At 52.5% G+C, this 27,538-nt stretch overlaps 1 protein-coding gene across 2 annotated transcripts in view, besides 3 other annotated features; it reads left to right on the top strand.

The window, feature by feature from the left end:
• The window catches only part of SLC38A8 (solute carrier family 38 member 8), a 33,706-nt gene extending 12,131 nt beyond the window's left edge, over nt 1–21,575 (top strand). For both annotated transcript variants that reach the window (XM_017022946.1, NM_001080442.3), the window contains 6 exons: nt 1,691–1,748; nt 8,353–8,467; nt 13,955–14,102; nt 14,515–14,723; nt 18,190–18,241; nt 21,365–21,575. In XM_017022946.1, coding sequence (XP_016878435.1) covers nt 1,691–1,748; nt 8,353–8,467; nt 13,955–14,102; nt 14,515–14,723; nt 18,190–18,241; nt 21,365–21,458 — 676 coding nt within the window. In that variant the 3' untranslated portion in view covers nt 21,459–21,575. The remainder of the gene's footprint in view (nt 1–1,690; nt 1,749–8,352; nt 8,468–13,954; nt 14,103–14,514; nt 14,724–18,189; nt 18,242–21,364) is intronic.
• Nucleotides 3,617–4,118: an enhancer, noted in NCBI's record as "H3K4me1 hESC enhancer chr16:84060729-84061230 (GRCh37/hg19 assembly coordinates)". NCBI's record gives its function as "activates a minimal SCP1, AML or CMV promoter by ChIP-STARR-seq in primed H9 embryonic stem cells {active_cell/tissue: H9 hESC(primed)}" and the evidence as "EXISTENCE:reporter gene assay evidence [ECO:0000049][PMID:30033119]".
• Nucleotides 14,343–14,844: an enhancer, noted in NCBI's record as "H3K4me1 hESC enhancer chr16:84050003-84050504 (GRCh37/hg19 assembly coordinates)". NCBI's record gives its function as "activates a minimal SCP1, AML or CMV promoter by ChIP-STARR-seq in naive H9 embryonic stem cells {active_cell/tissue: H9 hESC(naive)}" and the evidence as "EXISTENCE:reporter gene assay evidence [ECO:0000049][PMID:30033119]".
• Nucleotides 17,114–17,263: a silencer, noted in NCBI's record as "silent region_7774". NCBI's record gives its function as "represses an Ori minimal core promoter by ATAC-STARR-seq in GM12878 lymphoblastoid cells {active_cell/tissue: GM12878}" and the evidence as "EXISTENCE:reporter gene assay evidence [ECO:0000049][PMID:35858748]".

The following is a 27,538-nucleotide window of genomic DNA, read 5'->3' as shown; positions in this document are numbered from 1 at the left end:
TGGTGAAACCCTGTCTCTACATAAAAATATAAAATTCAGCCAGGTGTGATGGTGGGCATCTGTAATCCCAGCTATTCAGGAGGCTGAGGCAGGAGAATTGCTTGAACCGGGTGGCAGAGGTTGCAGTGAGCCGAGATGATACCACTGCACTCCAGCCTGGGCAACAGAGCAAGACTCTGTCTCAAAAAAGAAAAAAATTAATAAAAAGGCTCACCCTTTTTATTCTGTTCTGTGGTCCTTGGGAGCCAGGGGCAGCAACAGAGACCAAGTGGGAGGCCTCTGCCTAGATCCCGGGTCCCAGACCTGGTGGCTTCAGAGGAGGCAATGAGGAATAGTCAGACTGGATATGCTTGAGATCGGATTTCCCAGTGGCAGGGCTGGCTCGTGGGTGTGCGACCCCTACAGTCACCCAGGCCCCATGCTCAGTGTACCCTTCTGATGTCACTGTCTTAAAATCCTTAATCCTTGTCCAACAAGGGTCCCCGCATATTCCTCCTGCACCTGGCCCTGTGAATTCTGTGGTCAGTGCTGCTGGTGGGTTGGAAGGTGAGTAAGAGAGAGAAGAAAGTCAAGGTAACTTGGAGCTCTCAGCTTGAACAGTGGGAAGGATGGAGATGCTGTTTCCTGGATTAGAGAGGACTGAGCAGGGCGGGTCCCTGGGAGCAGCTCAGGCTGGAACAGTCAAGGTAGAGCCGACCTGGAGACATCTAAGAGGGAAGTCAAGCAGCTGGGCAGGTCTGTGTGTCTGAAGTTCAGAGAGAGAGGTCCGGGCTGGCAGGAGAAACGTGGCTGACGTTGGCCCAGACATGGCATTGAAGGCTGTGAGTGCTGAGATCTGTACACTGAGCCGGTGGTACTCTAGCACAGGCAGGTCGAGGGGATGAGGAGGCCCTGGTAAAAACAGGAGGTGATGAGTTAGGATATGTGAGTGTCCGAGGGCTGTTGTGACAAGTGATCAAAGTGTGGTCAGGCCATGCTCCCTCCGAAGACTCCAGGGGCAGATCTTTCCTGTCTCTTCCTGCTTCTGGGGGCCGCGGCGATCTGTGTTCCTTGGCTGATAGACGGATCACTGGGTCTTGGCCTTCATCCTCACACCATGTTCTCTCTGTCTGTTTTCCCTTCCAATAAGGGCAGCAGGCATTGGATTCAGGCTCACCCTAATCCACCATGACTTCATCTTACTTTCAGTAATTACACCTGCAAAGCCTGTCAAAGGAAGCTGTGAACCAGGCGGGGATCCCAAGAGGCTGGACCTGGAGGTTCTCCCCACGCAGACCTCTGTCCTCTTAGGTGGCTTGGACAGAGCTCAAACCATCCTTGTGCTATTTGGGATCACTGGGTGGATGCTCTGGGTGCCCCCGCCCCTGCCAATTACCAAACCGCACTGGGAGCCAGCAGCCTTCAAGAGGGAAGTTGGGAGTTCCTACTGCGGTTTTCCTGCCCAAATTCTGCCCACATGTAAAATGTCATGTTACCAAATGTCAGCAAAGACGTATTTAGAAAGTGCAGCATTTAGCCAGCATCCTTTTCCATTTCCAAAAGCCCGGTCACGGACACAGTCATTAAAAATACATCTTGCAGCCATGCTCTGTTACATTTTCCCAGCATCCTTTAAAATTCACCATTGCAGCCGCAGGTTGTTCCGGGTGTGACCCTTCTTTAATAAACTCCTGTTCTTGTCTGTTTACAGCCCTGCCTCCTGGACCTCTGTGTTCAGTGTCTTCCCCACCATCTGCTTCGGGTTTCAGGTAATTTTAGCATCTGTGTTGCAGCCTGTGGCGTTTGCAGAGGCTGTGGGTGACTCTCTGCTCCCTTGGGAAACCTTGGTTTCTCTGTCAGGGAGGCGTCTGAGGACTTCTCCTAGGATACAGTGGGCTCTGTGCCGCCCACCTGTGGTTCCCAGGCTGTCATTCCAGACCATGAGGATGGGTTGGTGTCTGGGCTCAGGGAAGTGGGAATTGCCTTGAACTTGGGAATCCAGCCCCCACTGATGGCCAAAAGCAGCACCATGTTTTTTAGGTTTCGCGTAGAGTGTGGGGACCCGGGACCTGTCCCTTCCTCTGCAGAACCCCCACAGGACTGCAGTCAGACCTGAGGCCTGGAGGCCTAAGCTGCCCACCTAACTCTGGCAGGACAGTTTTACCCAGGTGGACTCTGCCCAGGGCCTTGGGCAGGAAAGATCCTGCCTCCTGAGGGGTACAGGGTAGAGGAGCTGGAAGGTGTACAGGGAGCTGATTGGAGAGGGGAAAGGGGCAGAAATACAGAATTTTTAATAGAATGTCATGGGAGGGAGGACGGGGCTATATGTGTAGAATCCTGGCAGAGGGGCAGAGTCAGAGGTGTCCGCTCAAGGTGGTGGGGTTTGAAAGGGATCTTGAAGGATGTATGGGCAGCAGCCAGGTGACTGGAAGCGCACCCCAGGTAGAGAGGACAGCACAGGTGGGATAGCATAGGTGGGTCACCGATGTGAGCGGGCCCCAGGCACAGCTGGAGAGAGACCTGCAGAGGGCTCTGTGGCACAGCGCTGGGGGGAAGGTGGCGGGGCAGGGGGGGCAGGGGAGGTGGCGGGCCTGGGCTCAGTCCTCTGCTTCTGGGCTGTCATGGGTTCCCGCAGCCCTCCTAGCAGGTGGAAGCAGACACTGCTCTTCCATTTCTTTCTTTTTTTTTTTTTCTTTTTTTGAGTTGGAGTCTCATTCTTATTGCCCAGGCTGGAGTGTAGTGGATCTCAGCTCACTGCACTGCACCTCCTGGGTTCAAGCCTCCTGAGTAGCTGGGACTACAGGCGTGCACCACCATGCCTGGCTAATTTTTTTTGGTATTTTTAGTACAGAGGGAGTTTCACTATGTTGGCCAGGCTGGTCTTGAACTCCTGACGTCAAGCGATCTGCCCTCCTCGGCCTCCCACAGTGCTAGGATTATAGGCGTGAGCCACCGTGCCTGGCCACGCTGCTTATTTTCGGGAAGATTTGCCTCGATGTCCTAAAAACAACCACCTATCCACTGCCTACCACCAGCACCAACAAAACCATTCCAAAGTAAAATCAAGTCCACAGGGAGATGTGTCCAGGGTTTACCACCGGATCTCAGCTTTGTAGCCATTGAGCTCGTCTCTTCCCTTGACCATCAGTGAGCTCTGCTTCTGTTCTTCATCTTGCCTTTTCTTTGAGAACCCTTTTTAGGAAAAAAAAAAAAAAAATCTTGAAACATTTCCATTTCTCTTCCTCGTAATCAGTCGGCGTGCTGCTTCAGGGCCTCAGCAAGCCACTTCTGTGGATTTCTCACATTGCTTCCTGCACGCCCAATATTTTGAAAGATCTGAAGAGCTGATTTTGCTGTCAACTGTTTGTCTGGACTGAGTTTAAGAACCTCTCTCTGTGCCCAAGCGCCATATGGTGCAGCAGACCTACGCCGGGGCCGCCTCCCCGATGCTTGCAAGGGGTGCCCCTCACCTTTGCCTCCAGCCCTCACCGGATTCTCCTAGCAACGAGGCCTGGGCTGCGTTTCCAGGGACACGGGATGCCGAGATGAAGAGCTGGGAAGGATAGGAACTGAAGGAGTGGGAGTAGGGGCTCAGGCTAGAGGTGGGGGCTGCCAGGATCTGAAGCGGGGGAGAATAAATGTAACTGAAGGTGCTGGGAAAAGGGGGTAAGGCTGGAGAGGGCTGCAGGAAAGGGACGGTCACATACTGTCATCAGGAACTCTGACCTGACTCAAACACAGCGTCCCCGCCCAAACACATTTGGCAATGGGGCACCCCCGCCCCAGGCCTGTCCAGTCAGTGAGAGGGGCCTCAGGAGCAGAGGGGTTGTGTCCACTCCCAGCCAATGCGGCTACACCAGGACTTCTAGTGTGTGTTTGTTTGTTTGTTTGTTTGTTTGTTTTAATTTTGCTTTTGTGGCAGACTTGCTCTGTCGCCCAGGCTGGAGTGCAGTGGTGTGATCTTGGCTCACTGCAGCCTCCGCCTCCTGGGTTCAAGCGATTCTCCTGCCTCAGCCTCTTGAGTAGCTGGGATTACAGGCGCCTGTCACCACGTCCAGCTAATTTTTGTATTTTTAGTAGAGACGAGGTTTCAACACGTTGGCCAGGCTGGTCTCGATCTCTTAACCTTTTGATCTGCCCACCTCAGCCTCCCAAAGTGCTGGGATTACAGGCGTGAGCCACTGTGCCTGGCTGGTTTTTGTGGTTTTAAAAAATATCTTTATTGAGATAGGATGCATATACCGTGCCATTCACCCTTCTGAAGTGTGCAGTGCAATGGATTTTAGTACAGTCAGAGCTGTGCAACCATCACCACAGTCAATTGAGAACCTTTCTGTTGCCCCTCGAAGAAACCCATCGCCGTCAGTCACTCTCCATTCTCCACCTCTGCCCGCAGCTCTTGCACTTCTTGTCTGTCTGGATTTGCCTACGATGGCCACCTCCTAGGAATGGAATCCTATTGTGGCCTTTTAAGACAGGCTTCCCTCCCCCGCCGTGTTGGTGGGATTCATCCATGTTGTAGCCACCCTATCTGTGGTCAAATAATATTCCATTGTGTGGATAAGCTGCGCTTTATCCCCTGTCCTTTGATGGGCATCTGGGTGGGGTCCACTTTTTGGCCACTGTGTCGTCTTCCTGTCTCCTTCCATCACCGAGCAACTGCCCACTGCCACCACCTCCTGGGTACTGCCTGCCCTCAGCAGGCCTGCTCTGCTTCCCCTTATAAAACCAGTAGAGGCTGGGCACGGTGGCTCATGCCTGTAACCCCAGGAATTTAAGAGGCCGAGGCGGGTGGATCACCTGAGGTCAGGAGTTCAAGACCAGCCTGGCCAACATGGTGAAACCCCATCTTCACTAAAAATACAAAAATTAGCCGGGCATGGCGGTGCGGGCCTGTAATCCCAGCTACTTGGGAGGCTGAATCAGAATCCCTTGAACCCAGGATGTGGAGGTTGCAGTGAGCCAAGATCATGCAACTGTACTCCAGCCTGGGCGATGGAGCGAGACTCTGTCTCAAAAAAACAAAACAAAACACCAGTAGAAACCCAACTGCGGAGTCAAACAGGGAGAAAAGGAGGCACCCTCCTGCCCACCAACCTGTCTGGCACTACTAACTGTCTTTTCCCTTATATTGGACTCAGCTGTGCCCCTATACGCAGAGCTGCCGTTCGGGGACTCCCCACCTCGGGGCATCTGCCGTGCCCTGAAGGCAGAGCCTGCCATGGGGCTGAGGTGCTGGTGCACGGAGGTCCCCATTGTGGGCACTGGGGCTCTAGGACCACAGGGCTGACCTGAGAGTGTGGGGTGAGCCCCACAAGTGCTGCGGGGGTGCAGGAGGCAGAGGGGTTGCGTCCCCCCTGCTGGCAGAGCCCTCCTGTAGGACAGGAAACCTGGGGCCAGAGAGCAGGGGTGCGCGGTGCCTGAGGTCAACGCGCCAGCGGAAGGGCTGTGCTCAACTAGGGCTGGAAGCCGGAGGGAGGAGGCCACTGTGCCCTCCTATATTTCCAGAATGTGTCCTGGGGGTGAGAGGACAGCTGTGCTGGGCTTGTTTCCTTGGCTTGGCTCACTTGCACCGAGGAGGACTCATGAGTGACAGAGCGAGGCTGGGTGGAGGGAGGCCTGGTGGCTGCTGGGTGGGTTCACGGGATGGGTAGGTGGGTAAGCCCTGTAGTGTTTATTCAGCTCGGTGCAGGCTCCGATCCTGGCCCAAGCTCAGAGCCCTGAGCAACGCAGACTTGGTCGTTGTTGTCGTGTGGTTGAGAGACGCTGAGTAGACAAACCGAAAAGCCCGCTCGTGTTGAGGACACGGGCTGTGTGAGAGAGGAAACCAGCCCACTCGGGAGGGCTCCCCAGGAGGGTGCAGAGGAGTTGGCTGGACTCGGAGAAAATCCGGCCAGAGGGACCAGCAGTAGCAAAGGCCCTGAGGCGCGGAGGGAAGACCTAGCTGATCTGAGCTTCCTGCGTAGGGTCCCTACAGGGCGGGCAGGAATGAGGCCTTGGCACGTTTGGTTTTGGCCAGGAGTGAGAGAGTGGGTGTGATGGTGGGAACCAGCCCCAGGAGCCTGGGAAGAACCCTGAACCCACCAGTGTGTCCGGAAAAAGCATCCCCGCCCGGTGTGTCTGGACAGAGCAGAGCCTCCCTGCCCAGCCCTGGCTGTACATCAGTATTCTCTTGGCTGTTCGTGAATCACCAATGTCCACGACCCACCCAGGGAAATGAATTCACATGACTCATGGGCTCTTGGCATTGACTGTGTATGTTTTGCGTTAAAAAAATTCTTGCACTGGGCTTGGTGGCTCACGCCTGTAATCCCAGCACTTTGCGAGGCCGAGGTGGGAGGATCACTTGAGGTCAGGAGTATGAGACCAGCCTGGACAACATGGTGAAACCCTGTCTCTACCAAAAATATAAAAAATTAGCTGGGCGTGCCTGTAATCCCAGCTACTCGGAAGGCTGAGGCAGGAGAGTCGCTTAAGCCCGGGAGGCGGAGGTTGCGGCGAGCCAAGTTCGCGCCACTTCAGTCCATTCTGGGTGACAGAGCGAGACTCTGCCTCCCAGGCTTGAGCGACTCTCCTGCCTTAGCCTCCCAAGTAACTAGGATTACAGGTGCTTGCCACCACACCTGACTAATTTTTATACTTTTAGTAGAGACGGGGTTTCACCATGTTGGCCAGGCTGGTCTCGAACTCCAGACCTCAGGTGATCCACACGCCTTGGCCTCCCAAAGTGCTGGGATTACAGGCGTGAGCCACCGCTCCCTCCTGCGTTTAAAATTCTTATCCCCCTTGGGCATGGTGGCTCGTACTTGTAATCTCAGCACTTAGGGAGGCCAAAGCAGGAGGGTCGCTTGAACTCAGGAGTTTGAGACCAGCCTGGGCAATGTAGTAAGAAGTCATCTCTACCAAAAAAAAATGCTTACCCCAATATGGCATGTCACATATACAGTATGTAGATTCTAAGTATGTGTGCACCCATGTGACATGGTCAAGCCCCCGGGAACCCCTTCATGACCTTTTCTGGTCAGTAGCACCCACCCTACCCAAACCACCATCCTGCCTTCTAGCACCACAGAGTGGGGTTTGCGTGGGTTGGTTATACCCCCAGGGAACATTTGACCATGTCTGCAGACATTTTGGGTTGTCACAACTTGGGGGAGGGGGGCTGTTACTGGCATGTAGTAGGTCCCGGCCAGGGACACTGCACAACACCCCCACCCCAAACACACAGGGCGGCTGCCAAGAGTTAACCCACACCAGACATCAATCGTGTCAAGGCTGAGAAACCCTGGTGTAGAAGTGTTTATCTTGTAACTTGGACTTCGCATCCATTAACGGAAACATTCTCTGCTGCCCGGCTTGTTTTTCTTTTGAGACACAGTGTCACTGTGTCTTTCAGGCTGGAGTGCAGTGGCACGATCTTGGCTCACTGCAACCTCCGCCTCCCGAATTCCAGTGATTCACCTGCCTCAGCTTCCTGAGTAGCTGGGATTACAGGTGCTCATTACCATGCCCGGCTAATTTTTGTATTTTAAGTAGAGATGGAATTTTGCCATGTTGGCCAGGCTGGTCTCAAACTCCTGACCTCAAGTGATCTGCCCCCTTCGGCCTCCCAAAGTGCTGGGGTGACAGGTGCGAGCCAGCGTGCCCGGCACCTATGTGGCTTCCTGTGGTGTTCATTGTTCTGACTGAGATTCGTCTGTGTTGAGGTGCATGGTTCTTTGTCAGAGCCACATCATGCTCTGTGTGTTAGTATCCTGCCATTTACTTACGCCCTCTGCTCTTGGTGGGCATGTGGGTTCTGTTGGGAATAACGCTCAAAATCTTAAGAAAACGGAACACTGAAAGGATTCTTAGCAAAGTAATTTTACTTTTGTGCAGAGGGGTGCTTTTTCTTGGTCAGAGCACACCCGAGCAAAGGAGTACAAGAGCCTTTATTCCTGATGCAAGTCCTGCTCCTGTACCCTTTTCCCATTGGCTGGGGTTGGGCCGCACAATCTAAACTAGCCTCAGTTGAACATTTGAACTTTTTTTTAGATAAGGTGGGCAGGTAAGGGAGAGAGGGGAAAGGGGCAGTGGGTGTTTGTAATGAGCTAGAGAGCTAGTTTTTTAAAAAATAAGGAAAGGAATGCGAGCTTGTATTGATAATGCCTGGTACTGTGGCGTGTTTGGGCATGTAACAAAGGCAGAAAGGAAGGAGAAAAGGAAAGAGGGGTTGGGGGTGTACTGTGAATTAAAGAATAAAGGATTGATCAGGCTATTTCAAGAGAAACCTCATCATATCCCACATTTCCCGCCTTTTGGATATGAGTTTTTTTTCGCATCGCCTGTTCCAGGGGAAGCCAGCATCCTGCTGAGCCGCCCTCTGTCTTACAGTGTCACGAAGCTGCCGTCTCCATCTACTGCAGCATGCGCAAACGGAGCCTCTCCCACTGGGCCCTGGTGTCTGTGCTGTCCTTGCTGGCCTGCTGCCTCATCTATTCACTGACGGGTAAGGCCCTTCCCAGGCACCCCTGCAGAGGGTGGGGAGTGACAGTAGAAACAAGAGTAACAGCGAGTATCTCTCTAGAGAGTTTACCACGTGCTGGGCTCAATACTCAATGTTTTGAGCATCTTATTTAATCCTTAGTGTGCATAGGAAAAGGCCTCATTTCATAGATGAGGAAGCTGAGGCTCAGGTGCCCTCCAGAACTTGTTCGAGGTTTCACAGCTAGATCTGCAAAGCTGAGACCTGAACTCCAGCCTAGCCGTCTCCAAAGCCCGTGCTCTGACACACCACACCCCAGCCCTGCTGCCTGCTGTTCAAAGGACATTGACTGCTGTCCGTCATTACACTGTAACATCTGGGTAGGGTTTACAAAACGTTTGTGGGTGCAGTGGACTCAGGTGCTCACAAACTGTGTGTGGGAGGCAGAGGGTCTTTAAAGGTGATGAAAGTGTGGCTCAGAGAGGGGCTGTGACACGCAGGATCGTACAGTGCATTGGAAGGACAGTCCCAGGTCCCTGGCACGGCTGGCTTCTGGTTGGCCACTTGACGCCAGTCTTTTTTCATTCACCAACGTATCCTCCAGTCTAGGAAGCTCTTGGGCTGCAGTGAATCTCTCAGGCAGCCTTGGACTCCTGTGTGTTATGGTTTGAATATTTATCCTCTTAAAAACTCAGGTTGAAATTTAATCCCTGATGTGGTAGCATTGAGACGTGGGGCCTTCAAGAGGGGATTGGGGCATGAGGCCTCTGCCCTCAAGAATGGATTAATCTATTCATGGATTAGTGGATTAATAGGTTATCATGGGAGTGGGGCTGGTGGCTTTATAAGAAGAAGAAGAGAGACCTGGGCTCACACACTCAGCCCCCTTGCCATGTGACACTCTGCGCGCCACTTCAGGGCTCTGCAAAGTCCCCTCCGGCAAGAAGGCTCTCCCCAGATGTAGCCTCTTGATCCTGGACTTCTCAATCTCCATAACTGTAAAAAAATTTCCTTTCTGTATAAATTACTCAATTTCAGGCATTCTGTTGTAACCAACAAAAAATGGACTAAGACAGAAAATTGGTATCAAGAGTGGGGTGTTGATGATTGACTACCTGGAACGTGGAAGCGGCTTTGGAGCTGGGCAATGAGTGCAGGCTGGAAGAATTCGGAGGAGCAGGCTAGAATAAGCCTAGATTCTGGTGAGGGCTTAGAGACAAGACTAGGGAACATTTGGAACTTCTTAGATACTCTAGTTAGTCATGGAAATATGGATAGTAAAGTCTGTTCTGAGGAGGTTTCAGACGGAACTGAGGAACAAGGTTTTGGAAGCTGGAGTAAAGGACAAACCTGTTAGAAGCTGGCAAATAATTTGGCTGAACTGTGTCCATGCCTGAGGGTTTTGTGGAAGGCTGAACTTGAAAGGGATGAACTGGCCGGGTGCCGTGGCTCACTCCTGTCATCGCAGCACTTTGGGAGGCCGAGGCAGGTGGATCACTTGAGGTCAGGATTTTGAGACCAGCCTGTGAAACATGGTAAAACCGCATTTCTATTAAAAATACAAAAAATTAGCCGAGCATGGTGGCGGGGCACCTGTAATCCCAGCTGCTTGGGAGGTTGAGGCAGGAGTATCAATTGAACCTGGGAGCTGGAGGTTGCAGTGAGCTGAGATCGCACCATTGCACTCCAGCCTGGGCAACAAGAATGAGACTCTGTCATCCCTCCCCTGCCGGCAAAAAAGGATGAACTAGGGTATCTGGCGGAAGAGATATCCAAGGAGCAGAGCATTCAGGATGCTGCATGGCTACTCTTAGCTGCTCACGTTATGCTGGAACAGGCAAAAAATGACTTGAAGATGAAATTGATCATCAAAAGAGAACCAAAGCAGCAAGATCTGGAACTCTTTCAGCCTGGCCGTATAGAGTGCAGCGCGTATAGGAAACCAAGGTTGTGGCCCTGTGGCCTTTTGCTAAGGAGATTAATATGGAGAGAAAGGATTATCTAGAGAATGGAAGAAAGACCCTGAAGGCATTTCAGATATCTTAGAGGCTGCCCCTCCCATCACAGGCTCAGAGGCCTCAAGGGCAGGATGGTTTTGGGGACAGACCCAGGGTGCCTCCACAGGCTATCCTACGTGCCCTCACGTCTCTGCTCCCGGGACCCTGGCACAGAGATCCTCGCTGCACCAGCTTTGGGTCAGGTGGCCCCTGATCTGGCTCGTGCTGCAGCCCCAGAAGGTATAAGTGGTAAACCTTGGCAGGATGCGTGCGTTGCTAATTCTGCAGGCTGGCAGATAGCGAGAGCTACAGAAGCTTGGCAGCCTCCACCCAGATTTCAAAAGATGTTCTTCAGGCCAGGTGTGGTGGCTCATGCCTGTAATCCCAGCATTTTTTGGGAGGCTGAGGTGAAAGGACTGCTTGAGGCCAGGAGTTCGAGGCCAGCCTGGCCAACGTAGTGAGACCCTGTCTCTACAAAAACATTTTTTAAATGAGCAGAACATAGTGGTGTGAGCCTGTAGTTCCAGCTACTCAGGAGGCTGAGGAGGAGGGAGGATCACTTGAGCCCTGGAGGTCAAGGCTGGAATGAGCTGTGATTGTGCCACCGCCCTCCAGCCTGGGTGACAGGGCAAGACCCTGTCTCAAAAAAAAAAAAAAAAACAACGGATGTTGTGGAAAGCGTAGGGGTCCAACTGCAGAGAGTCTCTGCCAGGGCAATGCCTAGTGGAGTCATGAGAGTGGGACTGCCACTGGGACTACAAACTGCGAAGTTACCAGCAACGTGCAACACCTGCCTGCGAGAACTTCAGGCATCAGGTGCCAACCCCTGTGAACAGACACGTGGGCTGTACCCGGCAAAGCCGTAGGAGTGGGGTTGCCTCAGTGTGTCCAGGGGGTGGCACATGGTGTCAAAACAGATGATCCTCCAGCTTGACGCTTGAGTGTCTGCTCTGCTGGGTTTCAGGCTTGCTTAGAGCCTTTACTCCTTTCCTTTGGCCTTAGTCTCTCTTCTGGGATGAGAATGTTTCTTTTGCCTGCACTGCCATTGTGTCCTGGAAGTAGATTGCTTTTGATTTCACAGGCTCACAGACCACACTCTGGACTTTGGACCTCTGAGTTGGTGCTGGAGCGAATGAAGACTTTGGGGTCATGGGGTTGGAATAACCATGGGGTATTTATCTGCGAGGAGGATATGAGTTTTGGGGACTCAGGGACAGAATGCTGTGGTTTGATTGATTGTCCCCTCCAAAACTCTTGTTGAAATTAAATTGCCAGTATGGCAGTATCGAGAGGTGGGGCCTTTAAGAAGCTGTCGAGAGCAGCGCTCTCATAAACAGATTAATCCATTTGTGGTGAAGGGTTGAAGGATGCACCATCTGCCAGTATGCCAAATTGGTACATTAATTATTTCGGGTTAAAAATATTGGAGGCTGGGTGCGGTGGCTCATGCTTGTAATCCCAGCATTATGGTAGGCTGAGGCAGGTGGATTACGAGGTCAGGAGATCGAGAGCATCCTGGCTAACACAGTGAAACCCCGTTTCTACTAAAAACAGAAAAATATAGCCGAGCATGGTGACATGTGCCTGTAATCCAGGCTACTCAGGAGGCTGAGGCAAGATAATCGCTTGAACCTGGAAGGCACAGGTTGCAGTGAGTCGAGATTGTGCCACTGCAATCCAGCCTGGGTGACAGACTCCATCTCAAAAAAAAAAAAAATTTTTTTTGGAGAAATTGTAGTTTCAGTAAGAGCTAGCTGACTTGACTCTTTCTGCAGGCATCAAGCCATAAAAATTCCTCTGGGAGAGGCCACCTCCCCATACCAGGGTGAGAAAATAGTCCTCATCACTGGAAGCGGGACTTCTGGCTGCAATGGACCTGAATAAATCCACTTATTGAACTAGCCTTAGCTTCTGCTAGTTTTATACCCACCCCATATATCTCCTAGTGACTCCCCTAGAAATTCACTGCCCCGACCAGATCCCCTTTGTCTTGTCATTCCTTGTCAGATTTATTCTTTGTCTAAAAAGTATAAAAGCATCTCATTTCGGCCGCTTCATCAGACATCACTGTGTTAAGATCCCAATGACAAGGAAAATTAATAAGATCCGTAGGCTTTTCTCCTGCTGATGTGATTGTCTGGTGTTGATTTTAGTTTCTAGGTCCAGCTGAACAGCCCACATAAGAGGCAGGCATGGGGCAGGGGCTTAATGGATTAATGGGTTAATGGACTGATGGGTTATGGGCATGGCACTAGTGGCTTTATAAGAAGAGGGAATGGGCCAGGCCAGGCACGGTGGCTCATGCCTGTAATCCCAGCACTTTGGGAGGCCAGGGCGGGTGGATCACGAGGTCAGGAGATCGAGACCATCCTGGCTAACACGGTGAAACCCTGTCTTTACTAAAAATTCAAAAATGTGGCGGGCGTCTGTAGTCCCAGCTACTCAGGAGGCTAGGGCAGGAGAATGGCGTGAACCCAGGAGGCGGAGCTTGCAGTGAGCCGAGATCGTGCCACTGCACTCCAGCCTGGGCGACAGAGAGAGACTCTGTCTCAAAAAAAAAAAAAAAAAAAAAAAAAAAGGAATGAGGGCTGAGTCAGAGCTCATCCTTGCTATACAATGCCCTATGCCACCTCTGAAGACAGTCCCCATTGGCAAGAAGGCCCTCACCAGTGTGGGCACTCAATCTTGGACTTCTCAGCCTTCATAACTGTAGGAAGTAAGTTTCTTTTCTTTATGAGATGCCCAGTTTCAGGTATTCTGTTGTAAGCAACAAAAAATGGACTAAGATACTGTGGTTATCCAGGAAACTTGCTGGGTGACTCCTTCCCCAGCAGAGGAGGTCCCATCAGTCTGTAGCCCCTGGGTCAGAGGGTGTGACTCAGTGATTCAGTATCACCTCCACATGTTCCCACTGCCAGGGTCATGGGACCTCTCAGAAAGGGCTTGCAGAGAAGCTGAAAGGAACATGGCTCTTAGAGACCTATCTCTCAGGACAGGGCAGGCAACCCGGGGTGACAGAAGCAGTGTCACCCTGTTGGCGCAAAGGGAATGGCGCTCTTGTCCTCAGTCCACGAAAACTAGCTGTGTGATTCTAGGTATTGGTTGATGCCCTGGCTCTTGGTTTTCCCCATTTGGAAATGTGTGCACAGCTAGCTGCTTTCTTTAGATGTCGTAGGAGTGAGATGGACAGGGCATGGGAGGTGTGTTTGTATTTTTCAAAGTGCTCTGTGCTTCTAGTCAACACACGCACTGTGGGTGAGCTCCGTGCACCAGCTCTGTGAGCGATTTGAAAGGAGGATAAGTGGCGGATTTGTCTGCAGGGGTCTTGAATCCCTGGAGCACAGTCATGTGTAGGCTTAGGACAGGAAAGCTTTGGGCTATCCCTTCCAGAACCTTCTTTCAGCTCCTAAGGAAAATCTTAGGTGGTAAAGCCAGGCGCTGTCTGTCTGTTGGTGGGGGAGGGGGCAGCATTTTCCTAATCCACTCTGTGGCTTCCATCCTTTCCCACCTTCAGGGGTTTATGGCTTCCTGACTTTTGGGACAGAAGTTTCTGCTGACGTCTTGATGTCCTACCCAGGCAATGATATGGTCATCATTGTGGCCCGGGTCCTTTTTGCTGTCTCCATCGTAACTGTCTACCCCATCGTGCTCTTCCTGGGGAGGTGAGGCCTGGCTCAGTGGGGGGCACCGTGAAGCATGGTCTGCTGATGTGTGCTGTGATTGAGCATGTACCAGGTGTGGGCTACGCGGCTGTGGGACTACCATCCTCTCCAATTGTAGACAGGAGGAAACAGGCACAGAGGATTTAGGTAGATTGCCCAAAGTCACTCCGTGAGTGTGTGTCCACAGCCAGGACTGGAATGCGAACCACGTGCTTCATCCCCTGCCCCATGGGCTGCCCGATGGTGGCAGAACCCCTGAGGGTTGGCAAGGTCTCCTGGGGAATAAACACCTGAGTGTGGAACAGGAGCACTGACAGGTGTGAGGGGACTCCTGGAGGACTGGGGAGCAGCTGTCGGGTGGAGGCTGGTGCCCCTGAGATGCCCATGTGTCTGTGTTGGCTGTGGCCTCCAGGTCAGTGATGCAGGACTTCTGGAGGAGGAGCTGCTTGGGGGGATGGGGGCCCAGCGCCCTGGCCGACCCCTCAGGGCTGTGGGTCCGGATGCCGCTGACCATCCTGTGGGTCACCGTGACGCTCGCCATGGCGCTGTTTATGCCTGACCTCAGCGAGATCGTCAGCATCATCGGAGGCATCAGTTCCTTCTTCATCTTCATCTTCCCAGGTGAGGCCCCTGCTTTCCAGGCTTTCTGCCCACTTGTTCTTCCCTGCTCATCTCTGTGGGGACTCCCAGTGTTGGAGGTCAAGGTTCTGGAAGGTGGGAGCCACATATGGGTAGGATTAAGACCCCATGTAGGTGCCCTTTTTATTGAGCCAGGCACAGGCTTGGGCTTTACATACCTTCCCTCACTCATTAAACATCTCATTAGCTCCTGATGAGGTTTGGTTGTGTTCACACCCAAATCTCACCTTGAACTGTAATAATTACCATCTGTGAAGGGCAGGGCAAGGTGGAGATAGTTGAATCATGGGGATGGTTCCACCCATTCTGTTCTTGTGGTAGTGAATAAGTCTCATGAGATCTGATGGTTTTATAAGTGGGGGTCCCCCCCCGCCCCCCAGCACAAGCTCTCTTGCCTGCCTGCCACCATGTAAGACGTGACTTTGCTCCTTATTTGCCTTTTGCCATGATTGTGAGGCCTCCTCAGCCATGTGGAACTGTGAGTCCATTAAACCTCTTTTCTTTATAAATTACCTAGCCTCTGGCTGGGCACAGTGGCTCACGCCTGTAATCCCAGCACTTTGGGAGGCCGAGGCAGGCGGATCACCTGAGGTCAGGAGGTCGAGACCAGCCTACTAAAAATACAAAATTAGCCATCCATGGTGGTGTATGCCTGTAATCACAGCTACTCAGGAGGCTTAGGCAGGAGAATCACTTGAACCCGGGAGGCGGAGGTTGCAGGGAGCCAAGATTGCGCCACTGCACTCTAGCCTGGGCGACAAGAGTGAAACTCCATCTCAAACAAAACAAACCATTACCTAGTCCCTGGTAGGTCTTTATTAGCAGCATGAGAGCAGACTAATACAGCTCCTGATGGACATTCTTGACGTAGGAACGTTTATGATCCCATTCCATAGATGCGAAGACCGAGGCCCTGAACCCCCGCCGGGGGCACAGCTAGTATGCAGCAGGGCTGAGGGTCAATCATACAGCTCTGTCCATGCTACCGCTGGTGCCTCCTGCTAAAAGATTTTGTTTTATTAAAAAAAGAAAATCGTATATGTGAAAGTCACGTGGCTCAAGGCACCCTGCAAATGTCTCCCTTCCCTCCTGCCTCCAGGCCCTGGAGGCAAACACCGTTTCTGCGAAGGATGGTTTCTTAGGAAACCTTCCCAAACAGCCCAAGCATTATCTGAGAAGGGGAAGCCAGCAAGGTGGGGGCTGGAGGGATGCTTCTTCCAGTGGAAAAGGGTACACTGTAGTGGCCCACTGGAGCCCAGAACAGAGACTCCAGATCCGCAGTGGGGGGTGTGTTCCAGGGCCCCACACACAGCAAGTGTTGAGTACACAGTCGAGACTCCCTCAGTGCGTGTTCCGTGAGTGGACCCTGTGATTCAGCCGCGACTGGAACCATGCCAAACAGACATCGAGCTTGGGGACCCTTAGCCAGGTATCCCCAACACCCTGATGCAGCCGTTATGTCAAACAGACAAGAAGTAGATGCCCATTGGTGAAACTTAACAGAAAGCACAGGTAGAGGCTCTTACAGGTCTTCCAAAACTCGAATGGGGGCATGAAACGAAACATTGTTCAGGGTCCCAGGTAAGTGGGTGGTGACAACTTTGTCAATACCCCGGAGGTGGGGGGGCGATGGAAGAATTGAGGGCCACAGAGAAATGTTGGTTATCAAAGAGGCCAACTGATGTGTGGAATATGAAAAGTGGGTTCTTAGCAGGTGAATTAAGATTCAGGGGTTGTCTTTGATGTAGTCCCTTGAGAATCTAACCGTACCTGCCCCAGCTCCCGTAAATTGGGGTCTACTGGGATTAAGAGATAAAGACTGGGGAAGTGAAGTGAAGGGAGGGGAGGAGAACAGCCACCCACTCTGCTCCTGGCTCTGCCCAGAGCTCTCAGAGGTGAGGGGAGTGGCCATGTGGCTCCTCCCTCAGGTTCTGGGTGGAACTTTTAGAGAGGAGAGGGGTGTGGCCATGTGGCTTCTCCCTTGGGCTTAGGGTGGCGCTTTCACAGGTGAGGGTGTGGCTATACAGCTCCTCCCTCGACTCTGGGCAGGGCTTTCAGAGGTGAGGGGTGTGGCCACACAGCTGCTCCTGCATGCTCTGAGCGGAGCTTTCATTGATGGGGATGTGGCCACACGACTCCTCCCTCAGTTCTGGGCCGGGCTTTCAGAGGTGAGGGTGTGGCCACGCAGCTCCTTATTCAGGCTGTGGGCGAGGCTTTCAGAGGTGAGGGGTGTGGCCTTGTGGCTTCTCCCTCGGGCTTAGGGTGGAGCTTTCAGAGGTGAGGGTGTGGCTACACAGCTCCTCCCTTGGCTCTGGGCGGGGCTTTCAGAGGTGAGGGGTGTGGCCACATAGCTCCTCCCTCAGGCTCTGAGAGGAGGTTTTAGAGGTGAGGGGTGTGGCCATGCATCTCCTCCCTCAGCTCTGGGCGGGCCTTTCAGAGATGAGAGTGTGGTCACACAGCCCTTCCCTCAGGCTCTGGGCGGGGCTTTCAGGGCTGAGGGTGTGGCCACACGGCTCCTCACTCAGGCTCTGGGTGGAGCTTCTCAGAGGTGAGGCTGTGGCCACGTGGCTCCTCCCTCACACTCCCTGGTCTGGGCTGTTAGATTAAATTCTGATGCTGTGACCAGGTGGCCAGTTGTAGCGCTGGCTATTTCCTGTGGTGGGAAGGACTGCCCAGGACAGGTTTGAGTTGAGAGAGGATCCTTTGGGAGCTTTAGGCCAAGCTACATGGCCCTGAATCCTAGCAGAACTATTTAAAAAAAAAAAAAAAAAGGGCTGGGTGCAGTGGCTCATGCCTGTAATCCCAGCACTTTGGGAGGCCAAGGCGGGCGGATCACGAGGTCAAGAGGTCCAGACCATCCTGACCAACATGGTGAAATCCCGTCTCTACTAAAAATACAAAAATGAGCGGGGTGTGGTGGCACGCACCTGTAGTCCCAGCTACTCGGGAGGCTGAGGCACGAGAATGACTTGAACCCGGGAGGTGGAGGTTGCAGTGAGCCGAGATGGTGCCACTGCACTCCAGCCTGGCAGCAGAGTGAGACTCCGTCTCAAAAAAAAAAAAAAAAAAAAAAAAACACACACACAACAAAAGAAAGTAATGGTAGCTGCCAGTTGCCGAGCACTTCCCGGGTGTCAGGCATGGACTCTCACCATCTCCTCATAGACTCTGCTGTGGGGGGGCATGTTGTCAAGGTTGCCTGAAAGATGGGGCTCTGGGAAGTCGGTTGCTGCCAGACCTCTGCCTAAGTCATTAGGGCATGTTGAGCTGGGACTCCAGCCCCGTCCTTCCAGCTCCACTGTGTTGCCTCTCCAGGGGGCCTGAGCCAGGGGCACCCATGGGCGGAGGCCTTGCTGGCCTCCTGGGTCCCTGAGGACCTCTCCCGGGACCTTTTTGTTGCTTTGGGTTTGATAACGAAGAACTGTGGGTGACCCTGTCTTTTTTGCAGGTTTGTGCCTCATCTGTGCAATGGGTGTCGAGCCTATAGGACCAAGAGTCAAGTAAGTGTCCCTAAGATGAGGTGGCACCCTGGGTGTGCCCCGGATCAGAGTAAGAATGTTTCAGGGGACCCTGCAGATCCTATTTCTCATCCTCTGCATCCTGCAGGTGAGAAACCTGCGAGCCACAGGAAGAGAGTCTCTGTCTACCCAGTATGAGGGCATCTGAGCCAGGATAGGAGCCCGGGCCAGTAACACCGGGTCCTCCAAGGGCCTTCCCTTCCACTCTGAGGGTCTGTGGTTGGGATTTCATGTAGATTCCAGCCTCTGGAAGCACCCAGTGGTGCATCTGTACCCTCCTTTGTTACCTGGCTCGGACCCAGGGCAGGATCAGGGTGCAGGCTGGGTTAGAAAGGCCCCATGGCCGGCCAGACACCATCATCACAGCAGTGGGTCGCTGTTCCCAGGCTCCTCTGCTAGGCACTGAGCTAGGTCCTTTTACATGTTCACCTCCCCACCATACCCACATGTCTTCATCCTACAGCTGAGGAGGCGGGCCCGGATGCTAGTGAGGACAGAGCTAGGATGCAACCCAGGCCCCTGGCTCCCAGGCCCCATGCTAACCCACCTGCCTGGCATACAATGCTGTTGAGACCAGATAATTTGGATCTTTCCTTCATTTGACAAATATTTATCCCCGAGCGGACCTGTGGATCAGACACGACTGAGCCTCTGTACTTTGCCACTGAGCAGCTGAGTCTGACCCACGGAAGAGGACGATGTACACGTGAATGATGTGCGCTTCCTCAGCCGCCCCTGGGTAGTCTGGGGTTCTGGGTGACTCCCTCCCATCCCATAGATGGGGAAACTGAGGCTGAGGCAGGTAAAGAGATGATGTATTAGTTTTATGGGGTTATTGTAACAAATTACCATAAATTGGGGCATGGTGGGGAGGCTTAAAGCAACAGAAATGAATTTTTTCCCCAGTTCTGGAGCCAGGAGTGTGAAATCAAGGTGTTGGCAGGGCTGGACTCTCTGAAGGCGCCTCAGCTTCTGGTGGCCCCAGGTGCTCCTTGGCCTGTGGCTACATCACTCCAGTCTCTGCCTTTATCATTATTTAGCTTTCTCCCTGTGTCTCTGCGTCTCAGAAATCCCTCTGCTTTTATTTATTTTAGTTTTTGAGACAGAGTCTTGCTCTGTTGCTCCGGCTGGAGTGCAGTGGCGTAATTGTGGCTCACTACAGCCTCAACCCCCTGGGCTCAAGCAATCCTCCTGCCTCAGCCTCCTGAGTAGCTGGGACCACAGACGCCCACCATCACACCTGGCTGCCTTTCTTTTATAAGGATACCTACCATCAGATTAGGGTCCACCCTAAATCTAGGTTGTATCTTCTCTCAAGATCTTTTCCTTAATTACATCTGCAAAACCCAGTTTCCAGATAAGCTGGCAAGCACAGGTTCCAGGTAGACATGAATTTTGGGGGCCACCCTTCACCCCATCCCAGATAATGTTAAATGGCAGCAATCGTGAATTTGGGTGCCAGCTGTAGGTCTGTTCCCCTATACCCCCGGCCCTCTAGCCCCATTGAGCCCAAGCTTGGTTTTTGCAAAGGAGCAGGCCTGGCCCGGTTTCTTCTGGATTTGAGAGCAGTGTTTCTGGATGTTTCTAAACCTGCCTTGGGTATTGAACCAGCCTCCCAATGTCTGGTAACCCCCTAAGCCGCTCATTCCCTGGGATGCTTTTCGGAGTCTTCATGCTTTTTGTTTTGTTCCTTGATCTGAGCTCACAACAGTTTTTACTGATGAGCTTTCAAGATATTTTTATCGTTAAAACTGCTTTGGGTCCTTCTAATACATCAGCGCTGCTCCAGGAGTGCCACAGCCCACAGGCACATTAGCCTCACAGTCCCCGCACAGATGAATGGATGTTTATGGCGCTGAACAGCCGTGCTGAGATGCTGCTCGGTTAGAAATGTTCCTTCCATGACAACCCGGCCTTCTGGTCTTTGTTAATGGGGCCACAAATATCTCTGGTGGCCCTGCCATTTTGTGGGAATCTTGTTATCGCTCTGACCTCCTTGTCTACCCCATCTCTGGTTACATGACGAAGCTCACAAATGTGGCCTCGGTGGCTGCCAGTCCCAGCCACCTCTGCCTCCTGCGTCCTCGTCCCCTACCCCTCTGAGATCGTGTGTGACTTAGAGCTTGCGTCTTCTCCTTCATTTTCATGGGATTTCATCAGAGGCTGAGGAACAGAAAGGGAGGGTGGGGGGACTTTTCAAAGTAGTGTCTCCCTTCTCTCCATGTCTTTTTCTCTTTTTGAGATGGAGTCTTGCTCTGTCCTCCAGGCTGGAGTGCAGTGGTGCAATCTTGGCTCACTGCGACCTCTGCCTCCCGGGTTCAAGCAATTCTGCCTCAGCCTCCCACATAGCTGGGAATACAGGTGCCTGCCACCGTGCCTGGCTAATTTTTTATTTTTATTTTTAGTAGAGATGGGGTTTCACCATGTTGGCCAGGCTGGTCTTGAATTCATGACCTCAGGTGAATCCGCCTGCCTCAGCCTCCCAAAGTGCTGGGATTATAGGCTTGTGCCACCATGCCTGGCCCCCATGTCTTTTTATTTGATAAAATACTGGGGAGGAATGAGCTTATGACATAACAGGTGGGATCGGAGGGCTTTTAAAAACTGCTTGCGGCCAGCAACGGTGGCTTGCGCTTGTAATCCCAGTACTTTAGGAAGCTGAGGAGGGCGAATCACTTGAGGTCAGGAGTTCAAGACCAGCCTAGCAAACATGATGAAACTCCATCTCTACTAAAAATACAAAAATTGGCCTCGTGTCATCGTGTGTGTCTGTAGTCCCAGTTACTTGGGAGGCTGAGGCAGGAGAATTGCTTGAACCCGGGAGGTGGAGGCTGCAGTGAGCCGAGATCGTGCCACTGCACTCCAGCCTAGGCAACAGAATGAGACTCCACCTCAAAAAAAAAAAAAAAAAAAAATTGCCTGGGTACTTTGCTTCCCATTGTCTTGGAAACCCATCCCTACAGGTAACTGGAAATATTCTGAATTTTTCTTTTTTCCAAATTGATGACTCCATACTGGGCTCTACATAGTGAATTTTTTATGTGTGTGTGGCTTATTTGTGCAAAAATCCAGAAAAGCTCTGACATGGGTTTATTCACTTGGCAGGTGCTGCCTGGAGGTCTGGGGAGTGGTCTCTGTGCTGGTCGGCACCTTCATCTTTGGGCAGAGCACGGCGGCAGCGGTCTGGGAGATGTTCTGATGGGCAGCTAGTGCCGGGCAGGAAGGGGCCCTCCGGGGGCTGACCCTACGTGGCTGCTGTATGCAGCCAGGAGACCGATGCCATTTCTTTTCCTCATAAAGATGCTGGAGAGACTGATGCCTTCTGCCTCCTTGGGCTGCTCATGGGGCTATGCGGGTTCGAAGGGTTTCTGGTACAAAGGTGAGGAAAGTTCTTATGGCCGCTGTGATAAATGACCATAACCGCACTCTGGTGGCTTAAAACAACAGATGCTTGTTGCATCACAGTTCTGGAGGCCAGGAGTCTGAAATCACGTGTCATTAGGGCCATGCTCCCTCTGTGGGCTCTAGGGGAGGCTCCCTCCTGTCTTCCCAGTTCTAGGGGTGGCCGGCACTCCTTGGCTTGTGGCTGCCTCACTCCAGTGTCTGCTCTTGTCTTCATGTGACTCTCCCCTGTGTATCCTCTGTGTCCAAATCTCTCTCTTAAAAAGATACCCATCACTAAGTGAGCTCCTCCCACCTCCGTAAGTAGTGTGATCTCATCATAAGTTGCCTGCATCTTGTATTAATTAGGACCCACAAAGATGCAATTTCCAAATAAGGTTATGTTCACAGGTTCCGGGGGTTCAACCTCAACTGATGTTTCTGGGAGACAAGATTCAATCCATAAAAGGGAGCTAGGGGCTGAGGCCCAGATAATTGGCTTTGGAGTGTCAGGATCAAGGGTGTCAGGTAAGGATACTGCACAGCAATGGGAAGCCCAGAAGGGAGTGGGAGGAGGCATGGCTGGCGATGGTGATGGACTCAAATGGTCCTTTGGCCAGGGCGCAGGAAATGCCCGAATCCTGCCCTTGGCTGTGACAGGCCCAAGGAGGTGTATGCCCGGAACACGCCACACCGCCATGCACTTGGCCCATGCCCCGTGGAGGGTGGATGACTCCAAGGAAACTGTGCTTTCCCTCCCACCAGCTGGACTCAAAGAGCCTGGAAGCCAAGTGGACTGTTGGCTCTGCAGTTCTCCCTGGTGGCCTCCCCAATTCTGGGACAAGGGGTCACACTGGCAGCAGAGAGCAAGAGGAGACGAGGTTTGCTTCTAGGGCCTGGGTAAAGAAAAGGAGGTAGCTGGGCACAGTGGCTCACGCCTGTAATCCCAGCACTTTGGGAGGCTGACGCGGGCAGATCACTTGAGGTCAGGAGCTTGAGAACCAGCCTGGCCAACGTGGTGAAACCCCGTCTCTACTGAAAGTACAAAAAAATTAGCCGGGCATAGTTGGGGGCGCTTGTAATCCCAGCTACTCGGGAGGTTGAGGCAGGAGAATCGTTTGAACCTGAGAAGTGGAGGTTGCAGCAAGCCAAGATTGTGCCACTGCCCTCCAGCCTGGGTGACAGAGCAGTATTCCATCTCAACAACAATAACAAAAAAAAAAAAAAAAAAAAAAAGAAGGAGGGTAGGATGTGGAGAGGCAGACACGGACCCAGCTGCTCCTTTGCGTCCTCCCTGGCATTGACCCTGCAGAGGCCCCGGTTGCTAGATTCAGTTCAGGCCACGCTTCTCTGCCTTGGGACATCCTCCTAGAAGCCAGCAGTGCCAGAGTCAGGGGAGGGTGGGACTGACATTTGAGGATGCCTTCTTCAGGGCAGGCAGTAGGCCAGGCCTTTCCTGCTGTCACATGGTACAATGCACGTGACCGTGCAAGGCTGGCGGTGACAGGTCCATATTTATTTCAGCTTGTCCACATGCATGAATTTTCAAAATTGAGATAAAAGGTGTATACCGTAATGATTCACTTCTTTACAGTGTACAATCCAGTGGTTTTTAGTGTGCTCACAGAGCTGTGCAGCTGCCCCAGTAATTCTAGTCCGTTTTTGTCACGCTCAGAAGAAACTTAGTGCCCATTAGCAGTTACCCCCCATTTCTCCCTCCCTCAGCTCCCAGCAACCATGCAGCTGCGCTCAGTCTCTGGGTTTGCCTGCTACGGGCATGCCCTCTGAACAGCCTCACATGTACGTGGGCCTTTGTCTCTGCCTCCTTGGACCTAGCATAATGTTTCTAGATGTGCCCATTTTACAGGTTAGGCAACTGAGGCTTAGAAAAATCCAGGCTGAGCGTCCTGCAAGGTACAGAGATCAGATCAGAACTCATTTGGGGTTAGATTCTTTTCCTTCCCACTGTACATGCCATGCTGAGGAGACATCAGAGTTGGGGGGCAGGGGTGGGAATAGGTACCTGGCCCTGGGGCTCCTGTAGCCTGGCTGCTGGGGGATGGGAGAAGTGTGGCTGCAGGTGTGGACTCTGACCCTGTGGGGGTATTGGGAGGGTACCCAGGACCCTTCTTCAATGTCTGACCAACCCCACCATGACCTGTCACACCCTATGTTCAAGGGCCACAGCATCTTCCCAGGCAAGGGCCTTGGGAATTGGGACACGTGCGGGCAGATTGCTCTATTTTTTTTTGTTGTTGTTTGTTTTTGATGGAGTCTCACTCTGTCGCCAGGCTGGAGTGCAGTGGCGCGATCTCAGCTCACTGCAACCTCCCCGTCCTGGATTCAAGCAATTCTCCTGACTCAGCCTGGGATTACAGACACCTGCCACCACGCCTGGCTAATTTTTGTATTTTTAGTAGAGACGGGGTTTTGCCATGTTGGTCAGGCTGGTCTCGAACTCCTGACCTCAGGTGATCCACCTGCCTCAGCCTCCCAAATTACTGGGATTACAGGTGTTAGCCACCATGCCAGGCCTCTTTTTTTTTTTTTTTTTTGGGAGAGGGTCTCACTGTGTTACTGAGGCTACAGTGCAGTGGCACTATCACTGCTCACTGCAGCCTCCAACTCCCAGGCTCAAGTAATCCTCCTTCCTCAGCCTCCTGAGTAGCTGGGACCACAGGCATACACCACCATGCCCAGCTAATTTTTGTGTATTTTTTTTTTTTTTATAGAGTCAGGGTCTTACTTTGTTTGCCCAGGCTGGTCACGAACTCCTGGCCTCAAGCAGTCCTCCCACCTCGGCCTCCCAAAGTGTTGTAATTACAGGCATGAGCCACTGCACTGAGCCCAGATTGCTGTAATGGAGAATTTATCACCCTGGAGTGAGAGGTGAGGCTGAATAGTCATTCATTTCTTATTTATACCTGCCTGCTTCCTAAAGGGCTCTGTGACCCTGGCCAGGAAGGCTGGGGCTGTGCTAGTACTATTTATGGAGAGTCCTGAGATATCAAAGTGTGGTGGGGTGAGGGTCATGCCATCAAAGAAGGCTGTGTGTGAAGTAGCTTTGGAGTTGGACCGTTGGTTTTGAACACTGGGTCTGCCATTTGCTATCTCAAAGCCTTGGGAAGTGTGTGAACCTTCTTGCAGAATCAGTTTCCCTAGCGGCAAAATGGAGCAGGGTTACTCTGTACAAAGCAGGTCTCTTGTGAGGATTAAAGACGATGATGGATCCAGAGTAGCTGATGGGATACGTCACGCACAGTGGAGACCCAAGCAATGTAGCTTTATTCCCAGAAGACCAAGGTCGTGATTGGCAAGGGGTACCTGAGTTTCCTGGGAGCCAAGGGGAAATGGGAAGTATGAGGAGGTGAGGACTCATCCCAAAGCAAGAAAGCACCTCAGGAGGCAAGTGCACTGGCACTCAATGCTAAGAGGTGATAGCGGGGCTCTTTAAGGGGTGACTGAATATCACTCATCAGGACAAAGGCTTCTGTCTCGATTCTATGACAGGTCGATGTGATCCTCCTATGACTGTCTGCAAATTATCATAATGCAAGGACGCAGCTCATGCAATCACAGTGGTAGAAGCTGGGATGTCACCTTCCAGCCAGATGTCCTCAGGGGCCAGGTGACAATGTGTAGGGCTTCCAGCACATGGGCTCTGGGGCTGGCAGATGACTTGACTCTGCCTGCCACTTACCAGCTGTGTGGCCTCAGCAAAGCCTGTTCCTAGGGTGGTGACTGCAGGAAATCCCTGCCAGTGCTCTCCTCTGCCTCAGCACCCTTCCTCTGGATGTTTTCCAGCCTCCCAGTTCAGACCTTTTTGTCCTTTTCCAAAATGAAGCTGTGGACAGCCCCTCCCTCCCAGGATGGCTGAGAGTCTGAGCTGAGGTCCCTCCAAAGCCCTCGACACAGAGTGTGTCCTGTTGCAGCACCTGGCCAAGGATGACAGCTGTGTGTCAGTGGAGAGTCAGAAGTAACAGCTTTGAGCATGGCCCGGTGATGCTTCATAGTGCAAATGCCTTGTGCTCCTGCTCTGAGCATGGTAGGCTGCAGGGGAGACCTCTTTCCCTTGGCTCAGGGGCCCAGCCCAGGGCACTGCTGGCCCTAAGCACCTCAGGAGGAGTTGCCCACCCACAGATGCCTCCCGGGGACAAGTGGCAGGTTTTGAACCGGGCCTGGTGAGTATGCAGCTCTACCGGCTAAGTACAGATGGTGAACTGTTTTTGAGAGTGATTTGAGATTCTTAAACATTGAAATGCAACTCACATAGTGTAAAACTAACCATCTTAAAGCATAGGATTCAGTGGCCTTTAGTACATTTGCAATGCTACGTCACCATCACTTCCCTCTAGTTCTAGAACATTCCATCCCGAGGAAAGCCCCCTGCCCATGAGCTGTCCCTCCCCTTTTCCTCTTCCCCATCCTCGAGGCAGCCACTCTGTGCTTTCTGTCTATGTGGATTTGCTTATTCTGGACGTTTCATGTAAGTGGAATATTAGATGCCGTCTGTTGTGTCTGCCTGCCTTCACTCAGTGTGGGGTTTTCGAGTCACCGACGGCCCAGTCCTTCACTCCTGTTGATGACTGAATGATAAACTGTTTGGAGAGACTGCATTTGTTTACGCCTTCATCGGCTGATGAGTATTTGGATAGTTTCTACCTTGTGGCTGTTGTGAATAGTGCCGTCATGAGTACATGCACCGAGTGAGTGAGTGGATGGATGCCTTTTCCATTTCAGGCAGAGTATATCCCTAGAAGTGGAATTGCTGGGATACAGTACTTCTATGGGATACGGTACTTCGCCATTAGCATTTGGAGGAACCTGATTCTGATCTTAATGGGTTAATCTGAAGCCGTTCTTCCTCACGGGTTGATGCTGTGTGGCGCAGGGGTTAGGCACAGAACTCTGGGTTTGGATCTGACTTGAGCCACTTACTTGCTGTGTGACCTCTGGTGAGTTGCTTGCCCTCTCTGTCTCCATCTCCCCACCTGCCAAGAGCAGGACAGCATAGGGGAGCATGGAGGGAGATGGGCCTGTCAAGTGCTTGACTGTGCCAGGCTCTGAAGTGTGAATTAAGCGGGAGCTCTTAGAGCTTTTAGGGTTGAAACATGTTCTTGTCAGAGCCCATCCCCGGCCACTCAGGTTCTGAGGGGGCCCCTGAAGGCTTTCAGTGCACGTGGGCTGCAATCAGCAGAGATATCACCCCCCATGGAGGCCTGGGCAGATGTGACATGTGGGAGGGGAACAGGCCCGGCTAAAGGAGGTTCCTCAGTTGTACCCCAGAAAGCCTTAGCCCCTGAGAATGTTGTTCTTAGAATAGCTGAGGTGGTTGGAATGTACCAGTCTTGTGGGTGGGGCAGCAGGAGCCTGTAAGTGGCATTCTCGTGCGCCAGGCAGTGAAGCCCCTGATCCTTCAAGGGAGGGGTCTTTTCCCCACATTACAGGTGAGAAAACAGGCCCTGAGAGGCTGGTATAGGGACATTCAGCTTGGAGACATACAGATGGTTCTTGAACCCCTTTTCTTTTCCTACAAACTCATGTCGTGTTTTGCTGGTTTTGCAGCGGCAGGCATCACACCCCGCAAGGAGGTGGCAGTACCCAAGGGGCAGGGACCTGCCCTGGGAGCAGGGTTTCAAAGCTCCCGGCAAGCACAGGGGGCTGGACAGTGTGGGCAGGGACCTTGCTGGGTGGTGAGTGTTAATAACCACATGTGGCACTGGCCAGCCCTCCAGGCTCTGTGCCTGAGGTAGAAAGGTGCCCATTCTGGGTCCTGCCCCTTCCCCTCAGGGCTCCCACCTGTGCCCTGGCCTGTGGTCTTGGCTCTGCCCTGTTTTAGGAGAGGGACCCACCATTCTCTTTGTCCTTTGAACTTTTGTGATTTTTTTTTTGAGACAG

Source organism: Homo sapiens, chromosome 16 (genome assembly GCF_000001405.40).
Source record: "Homo sapiens chromosome 16, GRCh38.p14 Primary Assembly".
Taxonomy (NCBI): Eukaryota; Metazoa; Chordata; class Mammalia; order Primates; family Hominidae; genus Homo; species Homo sapiens.
The sequence above is the reverse complement of the archived record's forward strand: the minus strand, read 5'-3'. Positions and strand labels throughout refer to the sequence as shown.